The sequence below is a fragment of the Homo sapiens genome, chromosome 6 (genome assembly GCF_000001405.40).
Source record: "Homo sapiens chromosome 6, GRCh38.p14 Primary Assembly".
NCBI classification, from domain to species: domain Eukaryota; kingdom Metazoa; phylum Chordata; class Mammalia; order Primates; family Hominidae; genus Homo; species Homo sapiens.
The window spans coordinates 169,623,615-169,637,904 of NC_000006.12; the positions used below are offsets into that span (position 1 = coordinate 169,623,615).

The 14,290-nt window shown below is 45.5% G+C and overlaps 1 protein-coding gene and 1 long non-coding RNA gene across 22 annotated transcripts in view, besides 1 other annotated feature; one reads left to right on the top strand and one right to left on the bottom strand.

Moving 5' to 3' along the window:
• WDR27 (WD repeat domain 27) overlaps positions 1–14,290 on the bottom strand; it is a 275,610-nt gene that overhangs the window by 197,195 nt on the left and 64,125 nt on the right. For 17 of the 21 annotated variants that reach the window (XR_007059231.1, XR_007059230.1, XM_011535688.4 and 14 more), the window contains 3 exons: positions 12,757–12,890; positions 10,814–10,911; positions 9,333–9,454 (listed from right to left, as the gene is read on the bottom strand). Coding sequence is in view for 17 of the 21 variants with exons in the window: in XM_011535688.4 (XP_011533990.1) it covers positions 9,333–9,454; positions 10,814–10,911; positions 12,757–12,890 (354 nt within the window). In the remaining 4 variants the exon portion in view is untranslated. Of the gene's footprint in view, positions 1–3,605; positions 4,095–9,332; positions 9,455–10,813; positions 10,912–12,756; positions 12,891–14,290 lie in introns of those variants that run through there. The other 4 variants (XM_047418585.1, NR_146875.2, XR_007059233.1 and 1 more) reach the window with 4 other exon arrangements.
• Positions 545–1,044: an enhancer, noted in NCBI's record as "H3K4me1 hESC enhancer chr6:170024255-170024754 (GRCh37/hg19 assembly coordinates)". NCBI's record gives its function as "activates a minimal SCP1, AML or CMV promoter by ChIP-STARR-seq in naive H9 embryonic stem cells {active_cell/tissue: H9 hESC(naive)}" and the evidence as "EXISTENCE:reporter gene assay evidence [ECO:0000049][PMID:30033119]".
• On the top strand, positions 4,805–7,892 carry LOC124901471 (uncharacterized). Its single transcript, XR_007059892.1, has 3 exons — positions 4,805–4,892; positions 6,678–6,786; positions 7,469–7,892. It is a non-coding gene; the product is annotated as an uncharacterized LOC124901471 (long non-coding RNA).

Genomic DNA, 14,290 nt, shown 5'->3' on the forward strand with positions numbered 1-14,290 from the left:
CAAGAGAGCCATGGTGGGGGAGCATCAACAACCCACATTTGGGATGAATTATTCTGAACCGTTTAGAAGAAAAACTGGTCATTTACTTATTTATTTTGTTTTTAATTGACCCATAAGAACTGCACATATTTTGGGGTACAGCATGGTGTTTTGACACACACGTGAGGCCCCAATCATGGGATTTAGCACATTGAAAACTCCTCCCAACGGCTACTCAGTGCCAGCCTGGGCCTGTTTTCCTCACACTGGCTGAGGGCACACTTCTCTAGGTCCTAGTAAATGAGCCTAGGAGTGACACAGCCTGAGCAAAAAGAAGGTAGACACAAACACAAACAGCAAAACCAGCTAACAGGCAGCCACCCACGAGGCGAGGTGAACACCAGACACAGGATTGGGGACATGGGGCCCTGGAGACACCACATGCCGCGTGTGGGGTCAGGTGTGCCGTGTGTGGGGTCAGGTGTGCCGTGTGCAGCATGTGGCATCAGGTGTGCCGTGTGTGGGGTCAGGTGTGTGGTGTCAGGTGTGCCGTGTGGGGCGTCAGGTGTGTGGCGTCAGGTGTGCAGCGTGTGGCATCAGGTGTGCGGCATGTGGCAGGTGTTCCGTGTGCGCATCAGGTGTGCCATGTGGGGCGTCAGGTGCGCAGTGTGTGGCGTGTGGTGTCAGGTGTGTGGCGTCAGGTGTGTGGCATCAGGTGTGCGGCGTGTGGCATCAGATACACTCTGGATCCGAGGACAAAGAACACCCACGAGAACCTTCCAGGTGTGCAAAAGGAGATTCGAAGCTCACCAGAGTGCAGCCCCTCATGCGTCTCTCTCAAGCTCGAGTGACTTAGTGAATGAAACGCTCGTGTCCACTCGGAACTGCTTAGGGAGCCGGAGGGAGGCTGGGCTGTGCCCTGGTGCCATCCCCGATCCCCCTCAGCCCAGCCAGGGACATGCAGGACCTAAATCGAAAACAGCCATCGACCGTTTCCAGGGAGTCAGGTGACCTCCCAAGTTCTCTAATAACTAAAGAAAACTTCATTAATTTTCATAAATAAAAAGGATAAAGTAACCAATTTAATTAAATAATTTTCCCATGAGAGTTTGACAACCACTGAGAAGAGAGCTCACCTGACCGTCAACTAGAGCCCTTGCTGTGGCCTGTGACTGATGCCTGGCCCATGAGACACGTGAGCCGCAGCCATGCAACCCCATGGGATGAAAAATTCGAGATGTGTGTTCACTGCAGCTCCAGGTAGATGGCACGAGACCAGGAACACAGGTTCCCTTGAGTCAGAGCATGGAGAGTACAAGAGCAGCCGTCCCACAGCCTGGCTGGGCAGTCAACTGTGGCAGCCCTCACCCTCGGGGCCCGGCCCATCCACTGAGGGGACCTGCAAGATGCAACTCCTGTTCTAGGCTTCACTTGGCATCTGGAATAAACACACACGTAGCTGCTTCTCTTATGTCACCACTATGGAAAGCCAAAGGCTGAGTCCTGGAGTGTCCGCGCCAGCAGCAGGTCATGGAGTTCTTCTGGGTCCACGATGGCCCTGCTGAAATACTGAAAAAGGAAGGCAGATCCAACGGTTGTAACTCAAACAGGCCCCTTAAAACTGCCAGGACTGGGCTTGGACTAAGCAAGCAATTTTTGAGCACCGACTGTATGCTAGTAACGGATGGCTCTGTCCTCAAGATGAGACTCTCACAGGAGAGAGGATTAATTCCACGTCATTCCGACTGCACTGATGAGCCCTGGAACAGCAGTGTAGACACAAGACCAAGTAAGGGGCCGAGTCCAACTACTGAGAGGCCAGGGAGGCCTCCTGGGGTGGTGGTGGAGACTGAGCCTGGACAGTCGGAAGGGTCTGCCCGTGACCCGGGCCACAGAGCAAGAGCACAGACAGAGTGCAGCTGGCGGACGCTCAGCTCCATCTTCTGAGAGCCCTGGGCTGAAGTGCCGGGGACCAGGCCCGACGGGGTCAGTCCTGTGTCTCAGAGTCAGCCCCGTTCACTGGGCTCACTGTCAGGTGGGTGCAGTCAGGAAACCGGCAGGCAGGTGCAGTCGGGAAACCAGTGTGGAGCCTTAGCTGCTCCATGGGGTCAGAGCTTAGGTGCCAGTGGTGCCTGCTCAGATCTCACGCCGGCACCCCTACTCCGTCTGGGGCTCTGGGGGGGATGAGGATGCCCCGTGCTCCACGTTCATGATGCTGTGACTCTGAGACCAGAGCCCGCCTCTTCTCAGCAGATAGAGCATGTGTGTCACATGGGAGCTGGCCCTGATGCCCTCCTGTGACTGTCCAGGCCACCACAGAAGCCAACCAGGGTGTGAGAGAATGGCCCAGCCCAGCAGCCCGGGCTTCATGTGGGCGCCAAGCTTGAGACTGGGTCTGAGGCGTCACCAAGGACACTGACAGGGTAAGAACGAGAAAGTGGTACAGGGTCTGCATGCAGCCTCGGGCTTTTATCCTAAAAGCTGCTGGGGCCTCTGAAGAATTGACAGTGAAGATTAAAATAACCCGAATGGGGTTCTGAAGGCACAGGTCCACAGTGGGTGATGATAGGCGGAGACAAGCCCGCGGGGACAGCTGCTGGGGAGCAACTGCAGGCCATAGGTGGGACAGAAGACGGCAGCGCTAGGCCTCCCACACCTGCACCTATGCGGGTGTGGGTGTCGCCTTCCTGAGGCTTTGCACACCCACAGAGGGTGACAGAGGGGGGCTGTGCTGTAGTGAGCAGGGTGGCTGCAGAGGCACCAGCCAAGGGGGGTTGCATTGCCTGTGGGGCTAGGTGCAGAACACAGCAGGCTGTGCCAGGCTCCTGCTGCCTTCTCTGGGCCACACAGTGGGCGGTGGGGGGTCAGGTCCAGGCCCCTCCTGCTGGTGCAGCTGTCCCCTCCTCCTTCAAGGCTCAGCCCCAGGACCACCTCCTGGGGAACACCTTCCCTGACCCCGCCTTGTTCAGAGGCCCCACAGACTACTTCATAAACTGAATACACCTCCTGCCTCTGACCTGGAAGGTGATCCTGAGGATGACATCACGCCGCTTTCCACATGAGTCCGCACCGTGCAGCTCAGAATACACTCACACCACGTCCGTGAGTAAGTAGATGAGGCCATTGTTCCACAACAGAGCACTTCCTTGCCGAAATGGTCACCCTTCACAGCAGTGGTTTTTAGACACACAGAACCAGCCCTTCGAGAGGCCATGCGTTCATCCAGTGTGTAAAACAGATAAAGGCAGAAGTCTCCCGGCGGACTGGGCATGAGGATGCCCCGCTGTGGACGCCAACAGCACCACTGGGCAGTGCCTGTGTCTCCGAGGAGCTGAAAACCTGGACTCTAAAGAGTCCTCACTGTAACAGATCAGCAGCTGCCCTTCTCCTGACAGCACATTTCTCATTTCCTGGTAAGGAGAGCAGAGTTCTGATGTGAAAGGCCACAGCGGCTGTAACTCAGGACTGGTCCTCCAGCGCCGCTGTAATTTGTCAGGGTCCTCCTCCATGATTTCCTCGATAACTCCTCACCACCATCATCTAATTGCTGATTTCTAACATATATTTAGAAACAATGTTCATTACAGTAAATTAAATGGGACAAGAATGAAATTTGATGCTTTAAGTCTTGAAAATAAATGTATTACAATCAAACTAACAAAATATAAACATCTTTTTAAAAACAAATCTTAATTATGCTACAAATTCACTTCCTATATCTTCGTTCTCCAAGTCAATGCCTTTTTACGGCTTGAAGTGTTCTAAAAAATCTATGATGATGCTTCCAACACAACATATTTTAAAAGCCAGAATAAAGCTAAATGTAAACACAGCTCATCTGGCTCAAGTCTCCTCAATTATTGAAATAAAAGATAAAAGAAGCCAAAATGACATCAGCACTAGAGGAAGAGAGGAAAAACACGTATCAGAATGTGGAGATCGTCTACGTACTGGAGCGCCATTCACCATGCCTGCTGTCCTGAGGCTCCCGAGGCGAGCCAGGCCCAGCGTCTCCATCCTCCTCCCTTGGTGCTGTGCACGGGGAGCCTCCACATTGCTCAGGCAGGTGCAGCCACAGCATGGGGTGTGATGTGAAGTGTCAGGAGCTGGTTGACCTGGTCAAGATACTGGGTTCAGTTGAGATAACCTGACATTTAGATGGTAAGGAGGGAAGAAAAACAGCATCCAGGCAGAGGAACTAGGCAGGCCTGGAGTCCAACTCCCAGCTCACAGCCCATGCAGAGGGAGGAGGGAGGCCCTGCACTCTGAGTCCTCATCCATCGAATGTCCTCGCTGAGCCTGTGAGAACACACAGGGAAAGGCCACGGCGTTCCAGAGACTTGGTGAACATTAGTTCCTAGCTGTGACACTCAAAAAATTCCACACACAGACTCTGGCAAGCACCTAGGGGTGACTCGGCGCCATGGTCTGGAAGTTGCTCTCCCCCCAGAATTCATCAGTTGAAACCCCCACTGCAATGGTATTAAGAGGTGGGGCCCTTGAGAAGTGATTAGGTCATGAGAGTGGAGTCTGCATGAATGGGCTGAATGCCCTTATGAGGGAGGTTTCAAGGAGTTTGTATTTCCATCCACCACTTGAGGATACAGCAGGAAGGCCCCGCCACTCAAGCAGAAAGCCCTCATGAGACGCTGATCTGCCAGTGCCTTGATCTCACACTTGCCAGCCTCCAGAACTGTGAGCAAATACATTTCTGTTGCTTGTAAATATCCCAGTCTAGGGCATTTTGTTAAAGCAGCCCCAACAGACTGAGACTCCACATTTGGAGCCTCATGCGCATCAGCCCGCCTGCAGGATTTAAAATATGAGTCGCTCTACCAGCAGGAACACAGCGTGTCACAGGGAGACCAGGACACCACACGGCTTTCAGTGCAAACTTGCTGACCACACAGGAGGTAAAACAAGTTTATTCAATCTTTCTATTTCTCCATTTTATGTGCCTTTAAACTCCTCGTAAAACCAAAAGTTTTATCTAACAGTATGTGAGAATGGGTAATGCCAGTTCAGATGCAGCCTTCTCTCATCCTCCCAGGACAGGATGGCTGTTCCCATCCCTACTCTCTGGCAGCGATTCCACATCATTTTATAGTGCTTAGAACAGTCAGCCTTGTGCGAATGTTATTCCACCCGTGACTACCACCTTCTGCCTTGTATTTCTTTGAACACTGAAACCATATCTAACTCAGCTTCTGATCTGCTGCTGCAGGTGGAGAAATTCTTGTGCATTTATCCCTAAAACTCACAGGAACAAAAGAACTGTGTGAGAGTAGTTGCATGTGGAACGTAAGAGTTTTCTAAAGCAGTACCCATCTGCCTCCACAAATTCATATTTTAAAAATTAGAAAAATAGCTTTCACTTAATGGACTTAGCACATACTAAGAGATTTACATACATTTAACCCTTTAACAGAGAAAAGCTTTATATATGCAAAAGGTTAGAAACTCTTCTATTATGAAGTGGGAACAGAGAGGAAAGGAAATAAAATTACAAAATCACACCAAATAGCATCATATCATTTTCCAAAATAATTCTCTTGAAAATATTAGAAAATTGGTTAGCTAAAGTTAAAAGAATTATCTTTACCATTATCTTAAACCTTGCATGTTATTTTTTAAGTTATAAATTAGAAAGCATTAAAAACTCCGAAATTATATTTTGCATTTGCAACCTAAACATCTGAAACAATTTTTAAAAATTTGGGAACTAAATTGAAAAAAAATCTCAGCCTAAGCTCTAACAGGCCAAGTTTTAATCTAGACCAAGTTTTATGGCTCTGTCATAAACCCCAGAAAGAAAAGAACAAAAAGAGAAAGAAAATAGGGATTTATAATGGAAATGCTGACAGACCATTTTCCAAACACCAAAAATAAATTATAATTGGCTTTGCAATGACCACCTTTAATAAGAGTCATGCACAACCAATACAAAATTAAATGAACTAAGAAATATTTTTCTAATAATTGACAATGTTTGAGACAAGCAGCAGCAAGTGTCAGAAAGCATGGTAAGCAATATGTTTTAAATGTAAAATTGGCCGGGCGCGGTGGCTCAGGCTTGTAATCCCAGCACTTTGGGAGGCCGAGACAGGCAGATCACCTGAGGTGAGGAGTTTGAGACCAGCCTGGCCAACATGGTGAAATCCCCTCTCTACTAAAAACACAAAAATTAGCCAGGCGTGGTGGCCCACGACTCTAATCCCAGCTACTCGGGAGGCTGAGGCAGGAGTATCGCTTGAACCCAGGAGGCGGAGCTTGCAGTGAGCCGAGATCACGCAACTGCACTCCAGCCTGGGCGACAAGAGCGAAACTTCATCTCAAAAAAAAAAAAAAAAAAAAAAGTAAAATTTACAACATGAAAGAAACTTCACGTATAAGATTCATTTATCTTCACGACTGAAATTTTTAAACTCAAGAATGACAATGTTTAAGAAATTTGGTCAATTCTCACTTAACTGTATTATCTAAAGACTCACAGACTTTTAGAAAAACTGACCAGATAGACAACTACATAACATCTCAGGAGAGACTTTTCTTGTTAGCAATCTTTATCTTTAGATACATTTTTAGACATTGCATTTTGAGAATAATATATCAACAAATTTTAAATACTACTTGTCAAACTTTAACCTCTGAAATCTACATGCTGACGAGTCTTTTTAAGAAACCATTTTTTTCTCTAGATTTACATCTACTTTCTTATACAAAGAATCGAATCCTTTGCTTTCTGTTGGTAACAGCGAGTCACAGTTCAAATCGGCGCATGTCAAGTGAACAGATTCCAGGTTCCAGGTACGACCAAGATCAGACACAAAGATGGTGCAAACCCTAGTCTGCACTCAGGTATCTTAAAGTCAAATGTCTTTGCGTGGAAGTTTCACTAAATAAATTTAGTAGGTCAGATTTATACTTTAACATTCTACATCCAAATATTAGCTATCAATATCTCATTAAGCTGCACTTGAATTTAAAAGGAATCATAACACCTAAAAAATAAGACAGGTTGGTCGGGCGCAGTGGCTCACGCCTGTAATCCCAGCACTTTGGGAGGCCGAGGCGGGCGGATCACAAGGTCAGGAGTTCGAGACTAGCCCGGCCAACATGGTGAAACTCCATCTCTACTAAAAATACAAAAATTAGCCAGGCGTGGTGGCACGCGCCTGTAATCCCAGCTACTCGGGAGCCTGAGGCAGGAGAGTCATTGGAACCTAGGAGGTGGAGGTTGCAGTGAGCCGAGATCATGGCACTGCACTCCAACCTGGGAGACAGAGGAAGATTCCATCTCAAATCAATCAATCAATCAATAAGGTGGGTATTAGGCTAACAATCATTTTAAAAGTTAGTAACTCAATTATTAAATTCATTTAAAAGATCTTACTGCGAAATTAGTAGTATCAGATCATGGCTCTCAAATACCAACAGTGCTGCCTAGTCTCATCATAAATCACCAAACTGACTTCTTTTTCCTTCACAGCTTTCCCAGAAAACACAGAAACATGGAGTATTACACACAGCACTGATTCAACTAATTCACACTTCGTTTGTGAAGTATGCCGTTTTCATAGCCTTGTAAAGAAGTTACAGGATTCTTCAAAGGGATCCCTTCACTCATCTGAGACACCCACTGCACAGTGTTTAAAAACATGTTTGCTCTGGTTTATACGCAGGAAGAGTCTAAACAAAAAGAAAAAATGCAGAAAAATAATCTTTTCTCCAACAACTCTCCCCAAGCTGATATTTCCATGGTGTTATTCAAACCAGAAAAGCCTTCTCCTATTGAAACTTGAAATGTCCTATTAATGAACTGGGTGGTGGGGTGGGGGGGTGGAAGATTAAAAGGAAGGCAAGATAAAGACGCCTGTCGGAGCCTTTAAACCCTCCCTTCTCCGACCAAGGCTGCCCACAGGGAGGGCACGGAGGTGGAATTCGCTTCCGCAGGCAGTCTCCCCAGGCGTCCTCCTGGACTCCGAAGCTCTGACTACCCCACACTGCCAAGTCCCTGGATCTGCCTCTCTGAAGAGCCATCCAGACCGACATGCAGGGAGACCATCTTCCTGGACACGGAGCCTCTGAATCCCGGGGTCTCTCATGCTGCACCCGTTAAAGTCTTCCTGTGGCCCTGACACCTCCATCTCCCCTTTATCCAGAAAAGATGCAGGAACAAATCTGCTTCAATGTAATTTAACTTAGCAGCCCAGAATCTTTGCTCTTTCTGATTTGAACTGATTAAAAAACTTTATAGATAATCAGACCATACCTGTCCTATTAAACAGAAATTTAAAAGACTCAAAATGTGGGCCAGGCACGGTGGCTCACACCTGTAATCTCTGCACTTTGGGAGGCCGAGGCAGGCTGATCACAAGGTCAGGAGTTCGAGACCAGCCTGACCAACATGGTGAAACTCCATCTCTACTAAAAATACAAAACAAATTAGCCAGGTGTGGTGGCTCATGCCTGTAATCCCAGCTACTCAGGAGGCTGAGGCAGGAGAATCGCTTGAACCCAGGAAGCAGAGGTTGCAGTGAGCCGAGATAGTGCCACTGCACTCCCGCCTGGGTGACAGAGCGAGAGACTCTGTCTCAAAAAAAAAAAAAAAAAAAAGAAGACGCAAAATGTGTTAACCTGTGGATAACAAAGTCTGTTTAACCAACATTGCAATACTTCACTTGGCAAAATGATACCCTGAATCATGATATAAATGCCAGATGCATCGTAAGTTAAATCCTCAACTTGGAAAACCTTTCCAGGCATATCAACAACCAAAATTGCAGTTTTAGTCCTAAGAAATACAGTTTTGTTCCCAAGACTTAGAGGCCCTCTTGGGTACCAAGTGTCTTTTGAACCGTGCAGCTATCAGACAATGAACTCATCAAATGTTTCTCCTGTAATGCCACCCTTTAACCTACCGCTGTGGATATTTGTAAACTTTGTCTCTGTCAAAACAGACTGGCTGTATCCAACAGCCTCCACCTTCAAAAAAAAGCTACTGATTTAGCAAGGCTGCCCCAGTTCATAGAACCTATGTGTCTACCATGCAATCCATTATTGCTTAACATATACAACCTTATCAAGTTTTATGTAAGAATGTTTTACTAGTAAAATCTTAATATGGGCCCATAAAATAATCAAACACAAACGTAGAAAACTTAACATTCAACATGATATTAAAATATCTCCTAGGGTCAAACATCAAGGCTTCGAATAATTTAATGATCAATAAAAATTAACATTGAATTTGGTAGCAAACACTTATAAAATGGCATCATACATTTGTATCTGTTAAATGCTTTAAGCACATAGTTTTACAGATGATACATGTTATCCAAAAACTTACTCACTTTATTTTGGCAGATTTGATGGACAGGCCGTGAGTGGGCTTCCGCTATCACCGCTGCACTGCAGCCGGCGTTGAGGTCAAACACTTCCACGGTCCTGTTCCGGCCAGCTGCGAGTACGATGTCTGCGATAATCCAGTTAGGGAGCTCTTCTCAACACTCTTACCCATGGGGAAGGGACAGTTCCCTCTCTTTTACTAATAAAAACTTTGGAATATTAGAAGACTCATGAATGGATGACTAGTTAAGAATTTCTGAAATGCCGCAGGAAAAGTCCTGAGTCCAGTCCAGCCCCACCCCATCTGACTCCAGGTGTTGGCAAGAGCAGGTGGACGGGGGTGGGGGAGGGCTGCTTAGGAAAAGTGAGACCACCACAGTAGCTATTTTGAGGTGTGAGTTCCAGCTTTAGATACGTGGTGTTTGAGATGTCCATGAAACACCCAAATCAGATGTCAAATAATTGAATATGTAGATACTGCACTCAGCAGAAAGGGCTGGACTAAGATTAGACAGATCCACAGAATGGGTGACAGCACCTGGGGCAGGCTTCACGATGGGAGACACAACCCAGACAGTGCCATGTCGGCAGGTGACCGTGACGTGCTTCATAAACTTGACCTATGAGGAGCAATGTGTACATTTAGGGCGCGTGTGACCACCAGCACTCCCCAAGCCTCAATGCTCAGCCCTGAATGCTGTAGTAATGTGTATAGGTGGTGGGAACCCAGGTGCACTGGAGTCAAGAGACCCGTAATGCTGGTGTTAGCGTTGGATTACTCTTGACTCTAGTACTCTCGTATTCCAGAAACCATCATTTAAGCTAGAATAATCCTAATGACATATTTCTTATTTCTGCTAGGTATTTTAACACCTATTCTAGCATGAAATTACCACGTTTCTAAAGAAAACATACTGCAACCTCCTAACACTTTTAGTTCAACTACAAAACCCTCCAATAGAGTTCAACGTAGATTGAACTTTGAGTAAATTAAAACTTTATACAATGAATTCCTAAAGATCTGGAGCTTTTCCCCTAAATAAATTAAAATCAACTTTGAAAATTAAAAGCAATGGTGTTAGCCATAAAAATCTCAAAAATTAAAGTTCTGGGATTCCATTTCATATTATTTTGAACAGCAACCGCTATGATTTTTGCCAGCTATGCAGATGAGATACAATGACTAAATTAGTAGACATTAGTCAACAAAGTCCAGAGCAGAAGGGCCAGGTCAGCCCACCCACCTGCTGGATGGCATGAGCTGTACGGCACTCAGGTTTCTTCTTCCTCTGAGGCCCTTTCTCAATGTTGAGATGAATTATTACACGTACAATTAACACAAGGATGGCGAGCTCCATGAGAAGGGTCCCTGCATTCCCGGAGCCCCACACAATGCCTGACACTCACGAGATGCTCAGCACATGCCTCTGCCAGAGGAACAACACTCAGGGCGTAAAACCCTACCAGGATCCGGGAGAAAGGATACGGGAATAAAAGTCGTTGACTGCCGATAAACTGGTCATGTCTACTGCACCCGTCGTGGAGAGCCTGCAAATCAGCTTGGACTTGCTCTTCTGTTTATATCTGGAAGAGAAAATCAAGATGATCAATATTTTTGCTTTCCTTCTGCTACAACTAAACACCTTATCTTTAAAAACATTAAACATGAAAAGAAAGTTTTCATATCACTTTAAAAATCATATTTTATGATACTGAGGGGAAAAGTGAATTAGCTACCTTAATTTTTCTTTAGGAAAAAAAACCTGTTTTTCTATTAACATCTAATTATTTGTGGTGATTTTTGACATACAAAAGATCCCCCACGCCGTCCTCCTTCTTCAGCCTGTAATCAAATGCACCAGCCTTTTTCTATAGGGTATTTCCATGTATGCTTAGAAAATCCTGCCCATCTCCCGCTACATATAACTGAAGACATGCCTCAGCTTCACTGCCTCCCGAAACCCAACTGAAGTGCCTGCAAAGTGATCTCTAAGAGAAAGTCCCACAAGATCAGAAAGAGGAGGCAGGAACAAGAAGAGGATCCACCAACTCTCAGGGGCAAAGGGCTGTGCCAGCCGAGATGGGAACGCTGTGACATGAGCTGACTTGTGAAGCTCCCTCCCAGTAAGTAAAAATAAACTTTAGGCCAGGTGTGGTGGCTCATGCCTGTAATCCCAGCACTTTGGGAGGCCGAGGCGGGCAGATCACGAGGTCAGGAGTTCGAGACCAGCCTGGCCAACATAGTGCAACCCCGTCTCTACTAAAAATACAAAAATTAGCCAGGTGTGGTTGGGGGGCAGGTGGGGGAAGGGGGGCGCCTGTAATCCCAGCCACTTGGGAGGCTGATGCAGGAGAATCCCATGAACTCGGGAGGCGGAGGTTGCGGTGAGCCAAGATCTCATCACTGCACTCCAGCCTAGCGACAGAGTGAGACTCCGTCTCAAAAACAAACTTTAGGACTGAAAGTCCCAGGCACCTCTGAAGACAAGGCTGAGGGAGGGGCCGCAGGAGGGGGCCGCTGGGTCCTGGAGCCCTTCCTCTGCATGCAACCCGCCCCAGCACAGGCCAGAAGTCACTCCTGGGATGCTGTGCCACAGGATAGATGAGAGTGGGGATGCTCTCATTGAGATCGGGGTGAGATCGGGGATTCCTTGCAAGCCCATCTATCAGATGCGATCGGATGGAAGCCCAACCCTTGGCAGGTCCCAACCCGATGTCCCTCCATGAGAGAAGCAGGCAGATGCAGTGCCCATTCCGAGCGCAGGGCACCTGCCCCAATTAACAAACTGAAGGCACACATCTCAGAAACGTAACTTTGATTAAGAAAGGTGTGCTCATGTTACACTCAAAAAAATAAAATGACATGAATACACAGAGATACAGCAAAAATACAAAACTATGACCAAGAAGCAAATATATCAATCTCAAAAGGAGGAAAAAGGGAAGAGGACAGGACTGGGAGATAGGTTCCTAATTCCCTCTGTAATATTTTATTTCTTTAAAAATTCTGGAAAACAAAGATAGTGAAATGTTAATACTTGTCCAAGCTAGGTGTAGCTAAGAAGATATTTATTATTCCCCATATATATGTATATATTTGAAACAGTTCATAATTTAACTTTATGTTATCAATAGTATTTGTCCCACATAACATCACTTCAATATGCTGCAGAGCCGAGATGATAATTGAGGATTCTCAAATCCCCCAAATTCTCTGATTCCGTCATGCCAAAGGCCCCGCGCATAGTAATACAAAGGAAGGTTTAAAATGAGTAGGATCTGGATAATTCCCTCTCATCAAGAGTTTGGTGATATGAGGTCATTATTAAATTTGGGGCAACATTTTAAAATGTAAATACCTTTCAACATCACATTATTGAAACAGCTTCCTGTGATCTAAAAATAATGCACAGGGCGGGGGGTGCCTACCTCTTAATCTCATCTTTGCAAGTGTCAATGTGATACCTCAGTAGCTGAAATTCAGGGCCAGAAGATAACAATATAAAGGCATCTATATAATAGAACTGTGCAGACTGTATAGGTTTAGAAAACATGTCTTTGCCCTGTAATGCAAATCAGTAATTACTGTCAATATAATAAATGTTAACAAAAACACTATTGCTCTAAACATAAAATTATTTCTTCTTAAAACCCAACATCTATTTGTTCTAAATGTGTACATAAACTTTGTTAGACCCAATCTACAATTTTTGTTTCTGCCTACTACTTCTGAAAGGTATTATATGATTAAAATGTTACTGTAATGAATGCTTTGAATTCCAGCCATTTAACAACTTTAAAAGAAAATCGAAACTTAGCAGTAAACATACTAAGTACCAAAGATTTTATTAAAGCTGAAATTCAAAATGTTTTAAAATACAGTTCTGAGGTGTCTGCTCTCAAATTTAGACCTCACAACCAAACGTTATGACACAGAGCAAGCTGACGGCATCCACAGCTCTCAGCAAACTCCTTCCTGAAGCTGCTGCCAAACGCTTCACCTTTAGAGGCCCTAGGTCTTCTTTAATTGACACTTCCTTTCTTGTCTTTCTCGTATTCAATCCCCTTTCTATAAAAGACGCAAAGAAAATAAATCCCAACATCTTTGAAAATTGGACTGCTTTTTATGTTATGTTCTTTGCAAGTCGCCTGCTCATAATTTCATGATTTGAAGGTGAGTTTCCTACCATTGCCTTTTCTTTCCCTGTCCTAGTCATAAGGTTATCTATCATCTTCCTGTCTCTCCTTTCCTGTTCTGCTCCCAAATGATCTCCCGTAAGTTCATCAAAACAAGTCACTCCTCTCCCTAAAATATACTTCCCCCACGTAATAGCCCCTTGGCCATTACTGCTATCTGGACTATGAAATCACACTGAATCAATATTTAAAATTCTTCAAATGTTTCAGTATTAATCATGTGGCATTCGCAGACCATAACAAACATAAGGATAGATTTAACCATATGAATGTATGCATGCATGTGGCAAGTGTGTAAGTGTGCGCATGTGTATGCATCTATCTGCGTGTGTGCCTATTGCATGTGTATTAATACGTGGCAAATATGTAAGTGTATGTGTATGCATCTACATGTGTGTGTGCCTATTGCATGTGTGTGAATATGTGGCAAGTATGTAAGCGTGCATATGTGTATGCATCTATATGCGTGTGAATATGTGGCAAGTATGTAAGCATGCGTATGTGTATGCATCTCCATGTGTGTGAATATGTGGCAAGTATGTAAGTGTGTGTATGCGTATGCATCCATATGCGTGTGTGCCTATTGCATGTGTGTGAATACGTGGTAAGTATAAGTGTGCGTATGTGTATGCATCTATATGCGTGTGCCTACTGCGTGTGTCTGAGTATGTGGCAAGTATGTAAGTGTGCGTATGTGTATGCATCTACACGTGTGTGAATATGTGGCAAGTATGTAAGTGTGCGTATGTGTATGCATCTATATGCG